The sequence below is a fragment of the Homo sapiens genome, chromosome 10 (assembly GCF_000001405.40).
Source record: "Homo sapiens chromosome 10, GRCh38.p14 Primary Assembly".
NCBI lineage: Eukaryota > Metazoa > Chordata > Mammalia > Primates > Hominidae > Homo > Homo sapiens.
Window position 1 is genome coordinate 131,966,441 of NC_000010.11, and position 20,837 is coordinate 131,987,277.

Here is a 20,837-nt window from a genome sequence, read left to right on the forward strand (position 1 = left end):
GATACGCACACACATCAAACTTGTTTCATTTTTAATAAAATGTCTAATGTTACAATCTAACGAAAAACACCTCCAGAAAACTTGATTCTTGGTCTCCCATCTGTCTAAAGCACTCCAGTCCCAGAGTTGTTTTTTCTGAAACAGGGTCTTGCTCTTGCTCAGGCCGTGTGCACTATCCTGGCTCACTGCAGCCTTGAACTCCTGGGCTCAAGGGATCCTCCTGCCTCAGTCTACCAAGTAGCTGGGGCTACAGGTGTGTGCCACCACACGAGGCTAATTTTTGTATTTTGTGTAGAGACAGGGTCTTGCTATGCTCCCCCAGGCTGGTCTCGAACTTCTGGACTTGTGATCCTCCTACCTCAGCCTCCCAAAGTGTTGAGATTACAGGTGTGGAGCCATCACACTGGCCCAGTCCCAGAGCTTAGTACCTCCAACTGGTTGTTTTTTTTTTTTTTTTTGAGATGGAGTCTCGTTCTCCCTCCCAGGCTGGAGTGCAGTGGCATGATCTCCACTCACTGCAACCTCTGCCTTCTGGGTTCCAGCGGTTCTCCTGCCTCAGCCTCCCAAGTAGCTGGGATTACAGGCACGTGCCACTGCGCCCAGCTAATTTTTGCATTTTTATTAGAGACGGGGTTTCATCATGTTGGCCAGGCCAATCTTCTGACTTCAGGTGATCCACCCACCTCAACCTCCCAAAGTGCTGGGATTACAGGCGTGAGCCACTGTGCCCGGCCATACAGGTGGTTTCACTCAGAGTTCAGCCATTGTCATCTGTGAGGGGGACACGTGGTTGGCTTTGTTGTGTGCTAACTTTGATGGTGACCAGGGGGTTCACTGAGCTCTGTAAGGTGCTGAAACTCCACTGATGTTTGTGATGAAAGACAAACAGCAAACATATTTGCTCTAAAACAAAAACGGAATTCCCTTGACCATCGTGCTTCGATGATCTCAGACTATTCTGAAGTTAAATTATATAAAGGAATTCTGATGTCATGCCATCCACATTCTCCAAATGTAAGACTGAGAGATGACTGCTTCCAAGGTAGCATCAACAAAGATTTTTACAAATGAAAACGTTAGATTTAACACCCGAATTAAGCGTGGAAAGGTGAAACATCAAGGCGGCAGGCAGCCTTTCTAAAAAGTTTGCTGTAGGAAAGATAATGTCAAAATAGGGACCAGTCCTGGTTTCATTAAGAAGCTATCATGACGTCTGATTTTAAACCATATGTAAATACAGTAATCTGAAGGATTTGGCAAAGATTTATTTTTTTTTCCATTTCCAGTTTTTTAAAGTAGACACAGATTTGCTTAGAATAAAGCTGATTTTAAAAGCACACAAAAGTTGAACACAAAGGAGAGGATTAAATTCACCAATGCAGAGTGATAAAGAGGAAAAGATACTGAGTAGGTGCCTTCAGCAGAAAACTGATCATCCAGGGTGATCACCTAATAATCGGAGACTTAATTCCTTATAATGCAAAAGCAAGAAGAGTTTAGTGTACGAACTGTACAGCTGAGTTTGTAGCTCTATCTTGGTTTCTGTTGATTATGAACAATTAGCATAGTTATATATAATCTTTCTTTAGTAGACAACCTGCATCCATTTAAATTAAATAATACTTTCTACAATAGTGTGATATATAAGGCCACAATATTTATTTTGGACAAACCCCTTAAAGTAGCGATTTTATTATCAATGTTATTCATTCTTTTGAAATATAAAGTACTTCAGCTGAATTAAGGTTGCAGATAATTTTTAAAATACAACACACATCATGACTAGTATATTAAAATTATTTATATTCAGATATTTATATCTAATATCAAATGAAAATTTACTACCAAATTTTCACAGTAGACATTAATCAGTCTGACATGCTTATTGATCCCATAGGTGTAATTATAGATCAACATGATTTTAGTGTCTATTCTTTTATTTTACTAAATTAGGAACGCAGCATTTACAGAACAAATAAACACAAGTGACGTGGCCACCCCAGGATCTAACAGCTCTTCAGTGAGCTATGTTGCAAGCTCAGAAGTAATCCACTAACGAACCAAGTCAGACTCCAGTTCTTCATCAAAAGGTGCTGGTGGAGGTTGTCAGACGCCTTCCAATATAGATCCTTCACAGAAAAATTATCAGTAGTTAATGTATCTTGTGATTCACAGGAGACTGTGTTACAGCTGAAACAGGGTAGCTCACTGTGGTTAGAGCTTATGCAAGGGGACTGGTGATTTTATACCCATTATAAAAATTTTGTAATGAATCTATCTGTGATCTTTTATCTAGTGTTTTATCAATATGTATTTTGTATTAATTAACTTAGAAAACATCAGATCGTATTCTTACATAGAAGGATCACCAAACCGAATGCTGTTTCCACACAGAAAGCTTCTGCTTTGTTCCAACTCAGTGCTGGGGGAAGTCACCTACCAGGGCAAGATGGTGTTGCTAGTTCATCACCACCAGCCTCACCAAAGCCAACTGCTTAAAAATGAAGCCCCTGCCCTCATGTGGTTTAAGTTTGGTAGTGGGAGAGATGTCCCAAACTAAAGATGCAGGAGTGTCAGAAAAGGCTTTTCGGCAATAGAGAGGCTCGCTCCAGCTGACCAGCGGGCATCACTCCCGGAGGGAGGAGGATGGGTCTCCAGGAAAGGGCAGAATCGGAAGCCTGGCTGGCCTGGCCTGTGGGCGGTGGTGTGGTGGGCACTGTGAGCGCAGACAGTGCTGCAGCAGCTTTCGGGGCAGATTTTATCGTGTGGTTCTGAAAAGCAGCTGAGGGGGTGTGGGTCGCCAGTGGCAGCATCAGGCTCTGAAAACCCGGGCAGGACGAAGGACAGTAGCTGGGAAGTAGTGGCTGCAGAAATCCATCCTGAAACGAAGGGCTTAAACCTTGTATTTAAAATGAGGATCCCGAGGCCTTGCCCCCAGAGTCTGCTTGACAGTTCTGGAAAAGGCTCCAGAAAGCAAACTGCCTGGTGATGCTGATGCAGTCTGTAGGTCTGACTCCCAAAAGCACCAGCAGAAATGAAGGTGACGGGTTATGGGGGGGACGTGAGAATGTGCCCAAGAGCTAGGAGAAAGCCACGCACACGGGAGGGCGAGGTGGAGACACGGGCAGCGCTCAGGTCCCGGCCCAGGAAACTCAGTGGCTTTTATCCCGTTTCCTTCAACCCCAGATGTGAGCCCTCTGGCCAACCTACCTAACCCACCTGCCCCCAGTGGCATTCCGGTCTTTCCAGTCTGTCCAACACACGGCAGCCACAGAACACTGTCTGCACGCCAGGACTAGAGCCCTCCTCCCCGCTGAGAGGCTGGGACCAGCCCGAGGAGGAGCCGTTTTGGCTTCCCGCTCTGGCTCTTCACCACCGCTGCGGCGAACGCTCTTCAGAACCCACAGCGGCGCCTGCCTGGTCTCTGTGTTTTCTGCAGGGTGAGTGAGTATAAGCAGCCAGGAAAGGCCAGGCGCGGTGGCTCACGCCTGTAATCCCAGCACTTTGGAGGCCGAGGTGAGCCATCCCTTGAGTTCGAGATCAGCCTGGGCAACGTGGCGAAGCCCCGTCTCTATTAAAAATACAAAAATTAGCCAGGCCTGGTGGTGGGCACCTGTAATCCCAGCTACCCAGGAGGCTGAGGCAGGAGAGTCGCTTGAACCCAGGAGGCAGAGGCTGCAGTGAGCCGAGATCACGCCCCTGCACTCAGCCTGGGCAACAAGAGCGAAACTCAAGCCAGTAAAGTCGGAGACTGCATTGGTTCCTTCATTGCTGAGAGTTACTAGAACAACAGTCCTGTCTGGAGGAAGTACAGCAGGTAACTGAGACCCTCCACCTACAGCAGAGCTGGGTGCATTCCCGCCACAGTACTACACAGAAATGAGACTGCTTTCACCTACACACAGGACAAAGAGGTCAGACCTAAGAAGCCCTGCTTTGACTCCGTTTATATTCAGTGAGCAACAGGCAGACTCGTCAGGCCAGACAGCAGCACCACAGGGCGCCTGTGCTGGGGCCTTTGGGGGCTGCAGGCTGGTGGTTTCTGGACCTGAACAGTGACTACGTGGGTGTTTGTGAAAATGCACCAAGCTGTAACTGATGATCTGGACTTCAGGAAACAGGTTACGAATAAATCACTGCAACCCAGAATCGCCCCACGACATGCCATGACAGGAGTCACACAGTCACATCACCTACCCCAATCCGATGGCCAGCAAATGAGAGAGCAGCAGAGATGGAAGGAAAACTTTCAGAAATTCTGCAGAGAATATGCCCCCTTTCTTCATGACGCTCGTGTTCCTCATGCTGAGGGTGGCCGTGCGCTTCGGGTGTTTAAAGAGGAACTCCCTGAGGCGGGAAGAAACGTGTCAGCTGATGTGTCCTCTGTCAAGGGGTGCCCCCGTGACACTGAGAACACACTCACTTGGGGGGAATATTTTCCGGCCGACTTGACCAATCCCATATCCAATCTGAGTTTTTCTTCAAGATGCTTTCAACTTCTTTCCTTCTTTCAATATCATCTTCCTCAGACTAAGATAAAGTCAATGTTAAAGGCAGATCAGTGTACCACACGTGACACGGGAAAGCACCCAGCTCCCACCCGAGCTTCAGATCCGCAGGCTCAATTCAAGAGCCCAGAGGCACATGTCAGTGCCTCGGACCGTGGTCCAAGGGGAGTCCTGGGGCTGGGGGCCTTCCCCGGGCCGCGCCGCACTCCCGGCTCACAGCACGCTCGCCGCCTCCAGGGACAGATCACCTCTGGGGGAGCCCCACTCAGGGCGTAAATACATTTGGTTCACTGTGAGATTCTGGGGGTACTGACAGCGGCAAACACTGTCCTAGGGAAGTCACGTGACATGAGGGCAAAGATGGTGACGGCAGCACTGGTTATAAGAAAAGAAAATGAAAACAGCCGAAAACGGCTCAAAACAGGGACATGACGAAGGAAGGGACACTGTATAGTGAGCAGGTTTACAAGATGCTTCCGGGATAAGCAGGAGGGAAAAGGCAGAAATGTCCACATAACCACAGCTGCGGCCAAATCCTCAGAATTATATAACAGCACGAAACATTAAAGAGGATTTTAAATCTGAGAGTCTAAGTGTTTTTCTCTACTTTTTTGCATTTTCAAAATTCTGTACCTGAACATCTAATTCCTTTTAAAACTAGGGGAAGTTTTGTGTAAAACAGTGAAAACGGCAAGACCCTGTCTCAAAAAAAAAGAAATAAAATTGAAAATACTCAAGAATATAGCTCCCCAAACCCACCAAACATCTGGGTACACCCAAGCTGGGTACAGCCCCAAGTGCCCAGGAGCAGGCCGCACGCCCTGGATGCACCCACACACCCACAGCCAGGGCTCCTGGGGCTCCCGAAATCATGCTGCCCCTCGGAGTGGGGCCAGGGGATGTCCCTGAGAAAGCCTGGGTAACAGGGACTCCTTGTTTCCTTGGTGAAGAAAGCCTTGAGGGAAGCGCTAGCACGGAAGGGTCAGCTACTAACCCTGCCTGGAAGGCCATGCTTCCTCACAGAGCTTCCAAAATACAGAACACAGTCCGTCGTCAAAGTTCTCACCAGCAACGAACACCCAAGAAAACACATCGCGCATCTCATCTGCAGCAAGGTAAGGCACTGCCAGATATAACTGAGCAAGACAGTACTGATCACTGCCTCGAACCCTATCTGTGCCGGAGTAGGAAGGGAGAACGATAGTACACCAAGGCAATAACCCCAGGTACACTTTTTCCTCTAAGACTCACTCCGCTTTCACAACAATGCTGAAGGCCGCTCTGTAAAGCCCATTCAATAGCTGTTAACAGAAAAGTCATCTTAGGCTGGACACAGTATCTCACACCTATAGTCCCAGTATTTTGGGAGGATCACTTGAGCCCTGGAGTTCAAGACCACCCTGGGCAACACAGGGAGACCCCGTCTCTACAAAAAAAACTTTTTTAAAAAAGAAGAAAAAGTGATCTTACACTAAATTATCAGGCTGATCAGCCGCTAATGCTACACTGCTCCGGCACCAGTTAGCTCAGGACTAATGCTAGGAAAGGCACAGGGTGTAATTTCCGGCAGGTAGTGAGTGTCTAATGAGGAAGACACCTCAGAGTCACAGCCACAGTGGCCACATGGCCTTAGATGGCCCCGTGGGTAACTCCTGAGTCCCACACAGCATGCAAATATTAAAACCCACTCACTGTCCAACCAGCAACCACGAGGAAAGACCAGCCAGTAGCTGGCTCACTGCCACCCCTTCCAATGGTCCCTCCCTCCTCTCTAGGCTGCAGCCACCAGGGAGCCCTTCCTCCTTTCCGGTGTATCCCTGATGGCAGGCAGGGAGGGACAGGAGGCCCCCGCTGCCTGTCCCACTCGGCGCCTCCCCCGCTCAGCTGAGTGTCCAGCCCATGTGCTTGTGGATGTTCCCACCCACAGTTTCTTGGTTTTTTTGTTTCGCTTTTTTGTTTTTTTTAAAGCAGGAAACACCCTTAAAGCCCGACTTTTCTCTGAGGTGCTCAATTACATTTAAAACCGTTTCCTGTACAAACAGATCACAAATACTTTTACAACTGCACATTCTCCTTCCAGCTTACCTGTGAGCTGTTTTTCTCTCCAATGCTATGGGTATCTGTTTCAGAAGCTCTGTTGGTATCTTGTGGTGTCTGCGAGCGAGGTGGGCTTGGCGATGTGAATAGAATGGGAAAAACAGAACATCATGTGAACATTCTATCATTAGAAGCTCAAACCCCAAAGGCAGTGAACCGCCTCCGTGATGAGGGGCTCTAGCCAGTCAGCGTACGCGTCTTCCCTTCCACCCAGCACCTGCCAGAGCCAAACTCTTCCTCAGCCCTTTTGGCTGAGCACGACAGGAGTGAGCTAGCCAGTCTTCCAGAGAAGACGCAGGGGCAACTGGCAAGCAGCTGGCTTTGTCACCTGCCGCCTTCACGGTCTGGGTCTGTTGCACAGCTCTCAAGGGCACGCGACCTTTGACCACTGTCGGCCACTCTACCTTGGAGTCACTCAGAAGTACTGCTAACCAGGGACCGCTCCTCCTGCGACCACAGCCCCGCTGAGGCGCGTGAGTGCGTTTCTCAGAGTGGGGTTTGTGGCTGTTCCGCTGCCTACTGATGACTTGAACATGGCTCCCCACAGACTAAGTCCCAGGTCACTGCATCCCCAAAGAGGGCGAGGCTCCTATATAAGGACGGACTGCAGCAGGAGCCAGTCCAGAACGCGGCCCGAGGCGAACAGCAGCCCACTGTCCTAGAGGTGACACGGGCACTTCCAGCTGTGACTGTCACCCACTGAAGACATCGGCACTGTAACACATACACTTGTTGATGCGCGCCTACCTGTCACAGTGAGAGCTCTTGGAGCTACTCCGTCCAGACTCATGCTGTGCGTCCAGCAGTATTTTTTCCATGTCTCCATTATAAATAGAAACCGAGGCTGGAACGCTGCCCCCGTTCCCATTATTGCTGAAGTGCAGTTCTACCCAGGAGCCTGATGGGGACAAAAAAAGGGGCGCAGATGGAATTCTCTACCCACTCTGGAATCTGCTCTTGATATCTAACCAGCCTGCCCTTCCATTTCCAAGAGGTAGCAATGGTGCCACACCAGGAACCATCCCTCAACCCCGACTTGAAGACATCCCTCTGCCCACTCTCATGGCAGTGACTGTCCACGCACACACTCCCTGGGTACAGGAAGGAAGCCCCCTGGGGCTGAGACCATGTATCTGTCCAGCTCTTGCAGTCCCTTTATACCAAGCCAATGTCCAATAACTCTGCTGAGTCAACAGAATCCAATTAGAATACTTCCTTGCAGTGAGCTTTTATAAGAAAAAGGCTATTATTTGGAAAAAGAGGTCTTTAAAAAAAACAACAACAACACTAATGTCAACATAAGCTTAAGGGATTTGAAGTTTTCTTTAAAAGGTTTAAGCTCTATTTTTTGTTTCTTTTCGAGACGGAGTCTCGCTTTGTCACCCAGGCTGGGGTGCAGTGGCACGATGAAGGCTCACTATAATCTCAAACTCCTGGGTTCAGGCCATCCTCTAGCTGACACCTCCGGAATAACTGGAACTACAGGCATGCACCACTACTCCTGGCTATTTTTTTTAGGAGATGGGGTCTCGCTATATTGCCCAGGCTAGTCTCGAACTTCTGGGCCCAAGCAGTCCTCTCACCTCAGCTTCCCAGTGTGCTGGGATTACAGGCGTGAGCCACCATGCCCAGCCTCTATGACTTGCATCGTGTGGCTTACTTTGCATTTATATAATTTCTAACGAGGTTGAAGACGGTTTTACAAGTTTGCTAGCCATCTGGATAGCATCTTTTTTGAACTGGTTCTTCGAATCTCTTATTCTTTTCTATTATCTGTCTTTCTCTTATTTGTGGGCATCCAGCAGTATTTTTTCCATGTCACCATTATAAATAGAAACTGAGGCTGGAACGCTGCTCCCGTTCCCTTACTGCTAAAAGTGCAATTCTGGGATAATTCTGTATTCTAGATATATGTTTTTCTGCATTTAAATATGTTGCAAGTAACTTTCCCTCGGTAGCTTGTTCTTTTCACTTCTGATGTCTTCTGATGTACAGAAGTTCTTGATTTTAATTCAGTCAAATGCAGCAATCCCTTCCTGAGCTGAGATATTCTATTCTATTATTTTCACACAGCTCTACTGTTATGACAGTCACATTTAGATCCAAAATCTACATGGATTAATTTTCCCATTGATGTGAGACGGATGCCCCATTTACTGCAGACAGCTCCCGCCTCACTCTGCGCTGGCTGCTTCCTGTGTCAGAAATCAAGCGTGCATATAGGCACACGTCTATTTCTGGGCCCCAGATAATCTCTCTACTTTGTGTCATAGGTTTATTTATTTAAAGCAAATCTGGTAGGAGCTTCCTCTGGTAGCGTATGGAGGATGGAGTGCAGTGGGAGGAAAGTGCAGGCCACAAAAGACAGGGAAACTTATGGACGAGAACAATGGAATTATCTCATTTTTGCAGTCACTATAATTTTAGTAAGCAGAATAATCACCCTGAGCTGCTGACTGTCCTTAAACCAACACAGCACTAATAACACCATGCAATTAGGGGGAAAGGAGCAGCCTCTTCATCCGTCATGTTCGCTGGAAGCAAAGGCAGGTGCACAGCTTTCCACACACACGAGGCATCTCTCCTGAAAGAGGGCTGGCCTAGGCTCCATACGCCACTTGTTGCAGAGTCTATTTCATATTAACCAGAAAAAAGCAAACCGAAGGCCCAGGAAGGAAAAGTGGATTTGCAACTTATGCCATCAACAGTCTCCCAGTAAGCTGCTAACGAAATGATCACACAAATTTTCAAATGAACGCATGATTGTTCTCTTTGGCCTCTCACGTTGCCTCATGTCCTGGCCTACACGAAGCACATCCCTAATACAAAGGCAAGCCAGGGTCTGTCTCGGAGCCTGGAGCTCAATGGAGGAGAAAGGCCCAGGCCAGTCTGCCCCACACTCTGGCAGAGGCTACATGGTGCCTTCTGAGATGTACAGACCACACCATTCCTGAAGCCGCTCATCTGACCAGACAGTATTGCCAAGTACTCTGATGTTCACTAGCCCTCCTTCCCTCTCTGCGGTTCAAGATGCCATGCGGCCGGCTAGCCATGGCCTGCCCCTGAGAGAACGGCACCACAGCCTCTGTTTTGGCCAGCTGTCTTTCTCCGCTGAATCTACAGTATTCAGATTCTGGGCCTGCTTCAATTTACTTGACTAAAGTGTTGTTCAGCTATCTGACGATATGGAACACAAATGCAACTTGAAGGTGTGGTGTCTCTTCTCTGATGCCACTCTTAACATCAAATGTGGGACACCAAGTCACCACCACCGGGGTGTCCAACGATTCAATTCCATTCTATCTACCTAGACTTAGTGTGGAGCCCACAAGACTGTTCCCACAGATGCAAGCAGAGAATGGGGTGTCCAGGTTACCCGTATTTCTGCCAGTGCCTCTACCTACTCAGGGGATCCCACACACCTGCCTCAGGTTCAGTAATTTACTACAATTCACAGAACTCAGAAAAACTCTTTACTTACATTTATCAGTTTACCAGAAACAATTCCAGGGCAGACAAATGGAAATGACATACAGCCCAGATCCCCACCTACCCCACACGTCCCAACCCTAACCCCAACCACACTCTCTGCAACCAGACTCCCACTTACCCCACATGTCCCAACCCTAACCCCAACCATGCTACCCGCACCTCATGGCTCCCCCATCTCCATCTCCAGTCCCCTCCCCTCCTAGGAGGGGCTGCCCTGGGAATTTCTACCTCAAGTAACTATCCTGGGGCCACCCTTGAGCCACTGTATTAGCAGTGTATTCTGAAGGGGCTCCTTACAACTTACACCAAAAATGGTTAACCAAGGAGCACTTTTGGAGTACACTGCTAATAGGGTGACTTTATGAATAACGCACACACTGGTCAGGTTGTTCTGCCTATGGAGTCACCATCTTTTTACTGTTTTACTTTCTTTAATAAACATGCTTAAGACACTTATTGGCACAGCGGTTCATGCCTGTAATCCCAGCACTTTGGGAGGCCGAGGCGGGCAGATCATCTGAGGTCAGGAGTCAGAGACCAGCCTGACCAACATGGTGAAACCCCGTCTCTACTAAAAATACAAAATTAGCTGGGCGTGGTGGGCGCCTGTAATCCCAGCTACTCGGGAAGCTGAGGCAGAAGAATCCCTTGAACCTGAGAGGGGGAGGTTGCAGTGAGCCGAGATCATGCCACTGCCCCCCAGCCTGGGCAACAATAGCGAAACTCTGTGTCTCAAACAAAAAAAAAAGACACTGCTCAGGAAGCCCCAGGGGTTTAGGTGCTCTGCACCAGGAAGTAGGTAGGGTCAAGACCAAACACATACTGTAATCTATCACACAAGGGGCAGGCTGAAGACAACAGGGAGAGGAAGATGAAGGAGAGACAAGTGTATCTCTGTCATCCTCTGCGCTACTGCAACAGAATCCCACAGACTTAGTGATTTACGAACAGAAACTGATCTCTGTTCTGGAGGCTGGGAAGTCCAAGATCCACGCACCAACATCTGGTGTCGGCTGAGGGCCTTCCTGCCTCATCCCTTCAATGAGGCTACAGAGGGACCCACCTCCCTCCATCCAGCCCCTTAGAGCACTAATCCCATTCACTAGAGAGGAGCCCCTATGGCCGAGCCACCTCTTAAAGGCCCACCTTTTACTACCATCCCACTGGCAACATGGAGGAACACATTCGAACCAAAGCAGTGCTTTTTAAACATCACCCCAGAAAGGACCTAAAAATCCAGGAAACAAGGAAAAAAAACTCACTCCAGATTGTCCATGGCTAATGACTTTGGGCCCAAAAGCTGTATTCCCAGGAATGATTTACTAAGGGACAGGAGTTTTATTATTAACCCACAGCAACCGCGTAGGAAAGGAAGGCACTTCCTGGAGAATGGAGCGTGCTGTGTATCTACTCACGTGTTACAGTTCTCCACTCGGATCGTTCACCTTTTCAAAGAAAGATGGGCTTACAGTAAGGTTGCTTAATAACCTTAGAAAACTTGCTCATAATCACAAGCAGTTTACACTTCAAATCACTGTAGTATAATTAGGCCCCAGACGGAAAGGTGCTGCTGTTGCTGCTGCAAGAAAAGCCCTCCTTCCTAATCTCATTTCGCGTCCCTCTCATGTTCCTCCCCCTCCTCACTCACTTATAATTTACATTGCTAACAAGACACACAGCCAGTAAATCTTACCTCCCTCCTATATCAAGGTAGATGAGATTTTGAAAAGCCTAGACTATAAATATTTATATCACAGTACAAAAAGAAAACTGATAGGTCTGCCTCAGAGACAAAATACAGTCCAACAAGAGTTCTTAATCCATTTCTTATTCTCACTTTGTGTAAAAAAAAAAAAAAAAAATCATCTGACATCCAGCTTTTCTAGGTGCCCAAAGCAGTTCTCCCTCCAGTGACAGACTCCAGGGAATCCCTTCGATTCACTGCCCTCTGTATGTCCCAGGGCAACTCCCTGGGTCCCATTCCTCAACATGGATTCATGGGCCACAGCCACGAGCCCCACGTGGAGTAAACACAGGGCCAAGTTCTCAAGGCCACCCTATGCCCTAACCTGGGGTGACAACCTCAACTCTGGCTATGAAGGGAGAATCACCTGTGGTGTTTTTTCATTGTTCTCCAAAAGCCTAGCCTCAGCCCACTCTGAAAGTGACTATTTGGGATGCTGGGGTGGAATCCAGGCAAATAGATTGAAAAAGCTCTGGGATAAATGTCAGAACAGAGGGAGGCAGCATCCCAGAAAAAAAACCTGAAGCAGAGGAGCTGTGAACCCCCGAGGGAACTAGCACCCCAAAACCATACAAAGGGCTTCTTCCCCAGGGGAGGTGGGCTCTAAGAAATTGCTGTTTTACCTTTAAAGCTTCTCAGGTTAGTGGGGAGAGAACAAAAGAGACCCGCCTGACAAAAGATTTCAAGTATCAAGTCAGCTGGGTAGGTAAATCAGGTCCCTGGCTTCCAACGGGGCTCGTTTCCCTCCACCTTCCTGTTGCCTCCAGGACCTCTGGCCTCCTCTCCTCCAGGACCCTCCAGGGCCTATTGCACGCAGCCTCAGGCATCTGGGCTCCAGGTATCCCACTGCTGCCTCATGCAGAGACCTTGGCTTCTCCTTAAGTGTTGTTGCCAGCCTTATCTTTCACTCCACCTCTAGAACCTCATTGTGACCATCTATGAAATGCAAGTCTTGGACGAGAATCTCGATGTCTGCAACCCCTTCAGGTCTCAAAGCACACAATGCTACAACTCCACTCCAAAATAAGTAGAAAACATCTTTTCCCCTCATACAACTTTGCCCATGGTGAGTTGCCTCTGACAAGAGAGAGAACCATCTGCCAGTTGCAGACACAGCAGTGGGTGAAGAGGTGAGGGCTTGGATTATTAAACACGGCCCTCCAGAGTAAATGGGCATGCACTTTACTGAACTGATGCCCTCCTGGTGAAGACAGTGGGTCCTTCAAGGAAGTGATGCCCCCGCCACCGTGACACGGTCTCGTCACAGAATCCTACCTCTCCTGCATGTTAGCAGTGACATGTCTAGGAGAAAAGGGCCAAGTTCATGGCTACAGTGAGCTATAATGATTGTGCTACTGCACTCCAGCCTGGGGGAGTAAGACTGGGCTTGTAAAAAAAAGGAAAAGGACAAATACGAGCATCCTGCGAGTCAACAACTTTAGCTAGAATGATCAAGAGATAGAAAGGAACAGAATCAGCCCATTTTGCCATTAACTCTTTAGGAAAAGCAGTTGGCCCCAGAGGGTACACTCAGAGGAGAGAGTGCTTGCTGCTTCCATCCGTGGGTCTGGCTGCAAGGCTCCCATTGTTCTCTGTTCCGAGGTCAACAAGGGGCAGTGAAATCGGACAGGCAGAGGTGAGCGCTGCCTGAGCCACCGCTCCGTCCCGGATTTGCAGGCAGCTGGAGCCCGCGGGACCGGCCAACCCCGCCCACGCCGAGCCCACAGTGGCCCCGTCCTGCCGCGCGGACACTCAGGGCGGCCCAAGGAATCGCCTACATGGGATCCACCCCGCGGGTAACTATCTTTTTATAGAATAAACAAAACAGAAAAACAAAAATCTCGTAACTCCGGCGCTGGCCGCCTTGCACTGCCAATGACTCAGCAGCCTGTGTAAGTTACATATTGGAGAGAGGACCGAGCCCCCCGGAGCCCCCTCCACCTCCCAGCGCCCAGATCCCAGCCGGACAGTGAAACGCACAATGTCAGGAGTAACGCGGCTTCACAACCGGAAAATGGGTGATTTTATGGCAAAGAGTTTATAAAAACATCCCTTGGACTTTATTTTATGACAAAAGATAGGAAAACACCTCTTAATCTATTTCAAAATAGTAATTAGCCAATGTTTAAATTTCAAGAGGAAAAATCCGAATTACAGGATTTTAAAGAATATGGTTTTAGGCCAGGCGCGCCTGGTGGCTCAGGCCTATAATCCCAGCACTTTGGGAGGCCGAGGCGGGAGGATCGCTTGAGCCCAGTTCAGACCAGCCTGGGCAACACAGTGAGACCCCGTCTCTTAAAAAAAAAAAAAGGTAAAAAAAAAAAGCTTGTAGTGTTCATATGTATATATATATATTATTCAATATATTACGGTAACTAAGTCCTGCCTAGTAAAATCTTTTTTTTTGTAATAAAATTAGCAACTCACTAAATTTATGTGAATATATGGTTTTAAAAACTCTCAATGAAGATTAAAAGTTCACTGTCAGAGGTTTCAGCAGTCCTTTCCCAAGCTTATTTACATGCTAATTTTGCTTAGTAAACTCTGGCTTCAAAGAACACAAAGGTCAGCTGCCACCAGGTCCCTCCTCCGAGGCTTTGGCCCTAGGGACCCTGGGAAGGCGGCTTCAGTGCCCGCTTCCCTGAGCAAAGGCTCGTCTGGACTCTGACGCGGACCCACCGGGTGGGGTGGGTCTCCACGCCACCCGGCTGTGCGTGGGGCAAGTCCTGCACCCCGGGCCTGCGTTTCCCGCTGCGTGAACGGATGGTCTTGCGAATCTAGCCAAGGGCACACAGCGAGCCTCTACTCGGGCATTAGGCAGGCTGTAACGACTGAGTGCTGCACGGGCAGCGTCCTTTTGCTTGTGTTTTCTTAACCCGTAAGTCATTTAAAGCTTTGTTTTGGAACGACCCTCTAGTGAAATTGGAACATGCCCATTTAATGCCATATTTTAAAAACGCTGTAACCCCCTCCCATCTCCGCGTTCACCCTTGAGGAAATCCTAACAGTCACCATGGATATAAACATTAATAACAAAATTAAAGCTCATAACAGGCCACTTGCCACGCCTTGGTGTTTGGTCATTAAAACCAATACTGGTCTGAACTACAGACCGCGGAGGGCAACGTGGACTTTGAGGCTGTTCGGTCCAACTGCGAGACGCAGATTCACCTCCAGGTGGAATTCTAGCTCGCGCGGAGCTGGAGAATCGGGGCTTTCCCGTGCGGTCCGACCCGGGTCCAAGCCAACCCCCGCCCGAGTGGCGAGGCCGCGAACCCCGGGCAGTACGCGGGGTCCCCACGCCCCGGGCTCCGCATGCCCGCAGGAGGGGTGGGTACGGAAGGGGAGGATGGCGCAGCCTCGCCCGGCCCGCGATGCCCCCTAGGCCTCCCCGGCAACCTCCCCTTGGCGCCCTCTTGGCCTTCCCCAGGCTTCCCCCCCGCGCCCCCTCGGCTCCCGCGCCGCCTCCTCCGCCTCACCCTGCAGGCTCTCCTCCTGCATCCCGGGCGCTCCGTTCTGCGACATGGCGCCAGAGGGCAACTGCGGCGATCGGAGTCCGCGCCGGGCTGCGGGATGTGCTTCAGCTGCGGGCGGTGGGAAAGCGGAGGTCGGAGCGCCGCGGCCCAGCTGCGCTCCCGGACTGAGCGGAGCCCCGCAGCCCGGCCGGAGGAACTCACAGGGCAGGGCGGGGCCGGGCGGATCTGCGGCCGCGTCGCCCATTGGCCGCGACTTGGGGCCTGCGCGTGCGCAGGGGCGTGGGGTGCGTGTGGCACGTGCGGCGCGTGCGCGGGGCGGGTCCTGCGGTGGGCGAGGGGCAGAGGCCTGCGGTGCGCGGGACGCGGGCGGGGAGAGGGGCGGGGCGAGGGGCGCGCAGGCGCGAGGGCGGCAGCGACCGCCTGAGGTGAGCCGGCCCGGGCTGGACGCCGCGGGCCGCGTGACGAGTGGGCTGCGCGGTCGCCGCCGCGGCGGGCGGTGGGCCGGGTTCTCCTTTGAAGGGGCGGTGGGACCGGCGGACTCTCTGGGCACTGGCTACCACGGAGACGCCGCTACGCTTCGGGGCGGGGCCCGTCTTTCCATCCTGCTAGTGGGGAAACTGAGGCGCGGGGCTGGCGGCGTCCGTGCGGGGGGCGTGAGGACGTGCAGGGAAGCGGCCGCTGCGGCTCCGAGACGGCCCGTGGGGTCGGGACCTGCGCCCGGGGCGGGAGCTGCGAGCGGTGGGCCGGAGCTGAGCGTCTCGGGACGGGACCGCGTCCCCGGGTCTTTGCCCGCCCCGCCGGGGCGCCCCTGCGTGAACAGCGGGGCCCGTTGTGTCCGGGGCGTCCGCCCGCAGGAAGAAGCGGAGGCTCGAGCAGAGTCGAAAGAGTCTGCCCGAGGGAGGCGCGGACCCCAGGGGCCCGGGAGAGGCGCGCCGTCCGCCTCTGCGGCAAGGGGCCTCCGGGGTGCAAACGCGGTGTGGGGCGGGCGTCCCCGGGGTGGGACGCCCCGTCCACGGGGCGGAGTGGCGCTTGGTCGGGCCGGGTGGGTGCCCGGCTTCCGTGGGAGCCAGCCTGGCGTGGGGGCCTCGCAGCCTCGGGACTGGGAGGCACTTTTCAGAGGAAAGTCGCTTTCTCATTTCCCGCTTTTGATCAAAAGTCTTTCTTCTTGAAAGCATTGTTGATCCAAATCCAAGTGTCAAGGTGCGCCCCAGAAACGCTGCTTCCCAGACAGTCGTGTCTGGTCTTGCGGGAAAGGAGGAGGCGTCCCGCCAAGGAACCAGGCGCTCAGAAGCTGAACCGGGGTCACAGAGCCGCGAAGCCAGACCTCAGTCGCTGCGTGCATTTCATCCCTGCTCTTGCCTGTTGAATCGTCTCTAGTCTTTGGAGTGCCATGATTTTAGTTTTCTCAGGAGTAACAAACATCCAGAGGCCAGTGTGGGGCGCATGTCTTTCATCTCAGCACTTTGGGAGGCCGAGGCAGGAGGATCGCTGGAGCCCAGGAGTTGGAGACCAGTCTGGGCAATATGGCGAAACGCTTTCTCTCCCCTAAAAAAATACAAAAAACTTAGCTGGGTATGGTGGCACCTGCTGTGGGAGGATTCCTTGAGCCCAGGAGGTAGGGGCTACAGTGAGCCATGATCAGGCCACTACCCTCCAGCCTGGGCAACAGTGTGAGACCCTGTCTCAAAAAAAAAAAAAAAAAAACCGCCAGAGATACATAGCATAGCATTAATAATTTCGATAGTAGAACTGTAGTGCTGGCCAGGCAGTGGTTCTTGTGTGTAATCCCAGCATTTGGGGAGCCCAAGGCAGGAGGGTCACTTGAGCCTGATAGTTCAAGACCAACCTGGCAACACAGAAAGACTCCATCTCTATTAAAACAAAAATGTTACCAAGTACGGTGCACATAAGGATTACAATGAAAAAGAGAATGTGTATGCCAGAATGAAAAACGGAACCTATTCGAGGGAGTCAACTAAAAGTATTACGAAGAAAATCAAATGGAGAATTGTTCAGAATAGTGTAGCCTAGTGGCTTGTACTTTTTCCCATATGAGTTTCTACTTCGTGGAAAGGGTTTATGCACATCAAGAGGTATTTGCCACCATACATAGACTTGCTTGCTCAGCTAATAATCGAAAGCAATGCAGTCGTCCAGTGCAGCCTTAGCCAGTGAGTCAGTAGCTTTTTGTTGGGCTGTGATGGAGGCAGCAGTTTCATCAGCAATATTTCCTGATAGGCCAGATATGCTCGCAGTCATCCCAAGTAAAAGCAAACAAATACTGACTCTAGGTCCACTGGAATACTAAAGAAGGCACTACATAAATGAGTCACAGTGTCTCACTTCCAGCTGCCGAAAGAGGATGGGGCTTTGGTACTACCAGATGTCTGGGGATCACAGTGTTGATGACGGTTCTCAAATCTTGTACAGAATACCAGCTCTTCCCATTCGGCTTCCTTACAAGAAGGATTGGAGTATTACATGCTGGCGCAAGGAATAATTAGACCCCTTTTAATATAGTCTTTTGTTACGGATCTTATTCCTTCATTTGCTTCAGGCCTTAGAGGATATTGTCTGATATTGGGTAAAGGATTAATCAGGTTTACTTCCACTTTAATGAAAGTGGCTGAATATATTTTACTAATGTCGGTGGAAGACTCTGACCATAAGTGGTCTGACAAAGCTTGCCCTAAGCCATCCGTGTCATTAGTGCCAGTTGAAAAAAAAGTTGTTTGATCTGTATTTTTATAATTTCAGTAATTTCTCATTCTGTAGTTTTTCCATTTGCTCCTTCCATTCTAAACCTAAATCCATTTCTTCCTTTTGGGAGAAGGAAAGCATGCATTGTGACGTTCCAACACAAAATGTCTGCCTAAGAGATGTCTGAGAGGTGGGGGAATGAAGAAAAGAATGAGGGCCCTGGGATTCTAAGGGCTTGGACTTGTATCCAGTGATAGGCTGATGAGATAACCCTACCGTTTGTACAGTTCCATTACTCCAAGGAAGGAGACAACTTAAAGTGGACGAAAAGAGTGGCACCAGTGTCTTTGAGGGCATGTGTCTGTTCTTCATTTATGGCAATGTCCATTTCTCCTAAGGCATTAGTAGAAATAGGAACACCTCCCTTCGATCATCAGAGCAATCCTGTTCATCATGTGGGATCCTGGTTTTTCACTGGTCCTGCTGTTAAATTTTCTACAATCTTTTTTGAAATGGCCAGGCTTTTTACAGTAGAAGCAAACAGCCCTTTTGTCATTAGAAGGAGGCCCTGTCTTTTCTTAAAAGGCCTCATTTGGTTAGTCAGTTCTTGTAGTTGCAAATTCATAATCTTTGAGACCTTAGTTTTTTTCTTCCTTCTGAATTGTCTTAGGAAGTTGATCTGCATAGCTTACTAATTTGTGGGTTTGTATATTCACCCGGTTAAGCTGGTATCTTTTTAACTTAGGTAACCAAACCCTCACTTAAGCCACTGAGGAAAGTAGAATTTATGAGGAGTCATTCTAATGATCTTGGAGGCTAACAGGCATTCCAGAATATTATTTAAAGGTTTTTACAAACCCTTCAAAACATCTAAGCAGAGATTTGTCTGACCTTTGAGTACATTGTTGAGTTCTCCTCCAATCTACATTTTTAGGAAAGAACTGGGGCAAGGCATCAGGAAGAGCCTTGGCTAAAGTCCTTATTCAAAAAAGGGGGGCTTTGGAATTGACCGGGAAGGTGGAGCACCAAAGCCCTACCCATCAGCTCTCACACTTTGGCTTGTTGGGTGAATCTCACTGTCCTCTGGGAATTATGTACTTGTTTTCCCCGCACCCAAGGCCATCTCCCACCTGCAGCCTTTTTTTTTTTTTTTTAGAGACGGAGTCTCACTCTGTCACCCAGGCTGGAGTGCGGTGGTGTGATCTCGGCTCACTACAGCCTCAGCCTCCCAAGTAGCTGGGATTACAGGTGCCCACCACCACACCTGGCTAATTTTTGTATTTTTAGTAGACACAGGGTTTTGCCTTGTTGGCCAGGCTGGTCTCTTAACTCCTGACCTCAAGTGATCCACCCACATCAACCTCCCAAAGTGTTGGGATTGCAGGCATGAGCCACTGTGCCCGGCCTTGGAGCCTCTCTTCAATGCTCTCCAGCAAGCACTGAATAATCCACCTGCTTCGTTTTAGGGAATCTTTGTTTCAGTGAAATAAACCTCTCTGTCCTTAAATTTTGGATTCACTCACCCATTGTCATCGCCTCTGCTGTCTCTGATGCAGATATTTAAGGAAAACGGTTATTTTCCGGCAGCAACAGTGGACAATGAAGCTGTCATGTGTGGCAGGACAGCAGGGAGCAGGCAGTTGGTGAGAACTCAGCTTCTACAGGCAGGAATGGAGTGGGAGAGGCCCTCAGTGGTCCAGGATTTGGGAGGATTCTGTGCCTAGTCCCTGTAAAAGCTGCCAAGTGTGTTCAGAATTATTGGACTAGGTTTGCAGACAGGGAGTCCCCAGAGTTTTGGGGGTTGAGATTTCTTCTTGGTACAGCTCTGGGTAGATAAAGCAGATGTAGGAATCCCAAAAGGAGCTAATTTGGAGAATATCTGTTTGGAAACAGTGGAGAGGTGGGTGCAGCCAGAAGCAGAAGTTACTTTCTGCAGGGTTAACCAACGAAGGCTCGTTCACCAGAAAATGTGCCCTGCTGATGATATTTACAGAAGTTACTTTCTGCAGGGTTAACCAATGAAGGCTCATTCACCAGAAGATGTGCCCTGCTGATGATATTTACAGAAGTTACTTTCTGCAGGGTTAACCAATGAAGCCTCGTTCACCAGAAGATGTGCCCTGCTGATGATATTTACAGAAGTTACTTTCTGCAGGGTTAACCAATGAAGCCTCGTTCACCAGAAGATGTGCCCTGCTGATGATATTTACAGAAGTTACTTTCTGCAGGGTTAACCAATGAAGGTTCGTACACCAGAAAATGTGCCCTGCTGATGATATTTAAAGAAGTTACTTTCTGCAGGGTTAACCAGTGAAGGCTCGTACACCAGAAAATGTGGCCTGCTGATGATATTTAAAGAAACGGGCTGGGCGCAGTGGCTCACGCCTGTAATCCCAGCACTTTGGGAGGCCGAGGTGGGCCAATCACCTGAGGTCGGGAGTTTGAGACCAGCCTGGCCAACATGGAGAAACCCCATCTCTACTAAAAATACAAAATTAGCTGGGCGTGGTGGTGCATACCTGTAATCCCAGCTACTCGGGAGGCGGAGGCAGGAGAATGCTTGAACCTGGAAGGCTGAGGTTGCAGTGACCCAAGATGGCGCCATTGCACTCCAGCCTGGGCAACAAAAGCAAAATTCCGTCTCAAAAAACAAAAAAAAAGTCTGCTGCAGGATTGCAGGGGGCATCACAAGTGGTACATTAGTTTTTTTTTATGATTTCATAGACAAAAATTATTTTTTGAAATCTGACAATACCAACTGCTAACCAGGATATAGAGAAACAAGAACTTGACAAATGGGATCTAGTTAAACTAAAGAGC

At 49.7% G+C, this 20,837-nt stretch overlaps 2 protein-coding genes across 3 annotated transcripts in view, besides 7 other annotated features; one reads left to right on the forward strand and one right to left on the reverse strand.

The window, feature by feature from the left end:
• The window catches only part of PPP2R2D (protein phosphatase 2 regulatory subunit Bdelta), a 70,526-nt gene extending 65,433 nt beyond the window's left edge, over positions 1–5,093 (forward strand). For both annotated transcript variants that reach the window (XM_006717914.4, XM_047425473.1), the window contains one exon: positions 3,187–5,093. In XM_006717914.4, coding sequence (XP_006717977.1) covers positions 3,187–3,214 — 28 coding nt within the window. In that variant the 3' untranslated portion in view covers positions 3,215–5,093. The remainder of the gene's footprint in view (positions 1–3,186) is intronic.
• BNIP3 (BCL2 interacting protein 3) lies at positions 1,244–15,483 on the reverse strand. The gene is made up of 6 exons (NM_004052.4): positions 15,321–15,483; positions 7,353–7,503; positions 6,594–6,678; positions 4,424–4,530; positions 4,198–4,347; positions 1,244–2,129 (listed from the first exon to the last, which is right to left on the reverse strand). Exons 1-6 carry the CDS (start codon positions 15,364–15,366, stop codon positions 2,084–2,086), a joined length of 585 nt encoding a protein of 194 aa, NP_004043.4. The 5' UTR covers positions 15,367–15,483; the 3' UTR covers positions 1,244–2,083.
• Positions 5,827–6,697: an enhancer, noted in NCBI's record as "H3K4me1 hESC enhancer chr10:133785771-133786641 (GRCh37/hg19 assembly coordinates)". NCBI's record gives its function as "activates a minimal SCP1, AML or CMV promoter by ChIP-STARR-seq in naive H9 embryonic stem cells {active_cell/tissue: H9 hESC(naive)}" and the evidence as "EXISTENCE:reporter gene assay evidence [ECO:0000049][PMID:30033119]".
• Positions 14,662–15,586: an enhancer, noted in NCBI's record as "H3K27ac-H3K4me1 hESC enhancer chr10:133794606-133795530 (GRCh37/hg19 assembly coordinates)". NCBI's record gives its function as "activates a minimal SCP1, AML or CMV promoter by ChIP-STARR-seq in naive H9 embryonic stem cells {active_cell/tissue: H9 hESC(naive)}" and the evidence as "EXISTENCE:reporter gene assay evidence [ECO:0000049][PMID:30033119]".
• Positions 14,662–15,753: a biological region, named in NCBI's record as "H3K27ac-H3K4me1 hESC enhancer GRCh37_chr10:133794606-133795530".
• Positions 14,994–15,223: a silencer, noted in NCBI's record as "silent region_2949". NCBI's record gives its function as "represses an Ori minimal core promoter by ATAC-STARR-seq in GM12878 lymphoblastoid cells {active_cell/tissue: GM12878}" and the evidence as "EXISTENCE:reporter gene assay evidence [ECO:0000049][PMID:35858748]".
• Positions 15,454–15,753: a silencer, noted in NCBI's record as "silent region_2950". NCBI's record gives its function as "represses an Ori minimal core promoter by ATAC-STARR-seq in GM12878 lymphoblastoid cells {active_cell/tissue: GM12878}" and the evidence as "EXISTENCE:reporter gene assay evidence [ECO:0000049][PMID:35858748]".
• Positions 15,804–15,993: a silencer, noted in NCBI's record as "silent region_2951". NCBI's record gives its function as "represses an Ori minimal core promoter by ATAC-STARR-seq in GM12878 lymphoblastoid cells {active_cell/tissue: GM12878}" and the evidence as "EXISTENCE:reporter gene assay evidence [ECO:0000049][PMID:35858748]".
• Positions 16,034–16,153: a silencer, noted in NCBI's record as "silent region_2952". NCBI's record gives its function as "represses an Ori minimal core promoter by ATAC-STARR-seq in GM12878 lymphoblastoid cells {active_cell/tissue: GM12878}" and the evidence as "EXISTENCE:reporter gene assay evidence [ECO:0000049][PMID:35858748]".

Bases quoted from the DNA above. Each gene is read 5' to 3' on its own strand.
- BNIP3 (NM_004052.4), bottom strand. From the start codon at position 15,366: ATGTCGCAGAACGGAGCGCCCGGGATGCAGGAGGAGAGCCTGCAGG. The intron at 7,504-15,320 runs GTGAGGCGGAGG...TGTCCCCATCAG, and splicing joins GCAGGAGGAGAGCCTGCAGG to GCTCCTGGGTAGAACTGCAC. The intron at 6,679-7,352 runs GTAGGCGCGCAT...CACATCGCCAAG, and splicing joins AAGAGCTCTCACTGTGACAG to CCCACCTCGCTCGCAGACAC.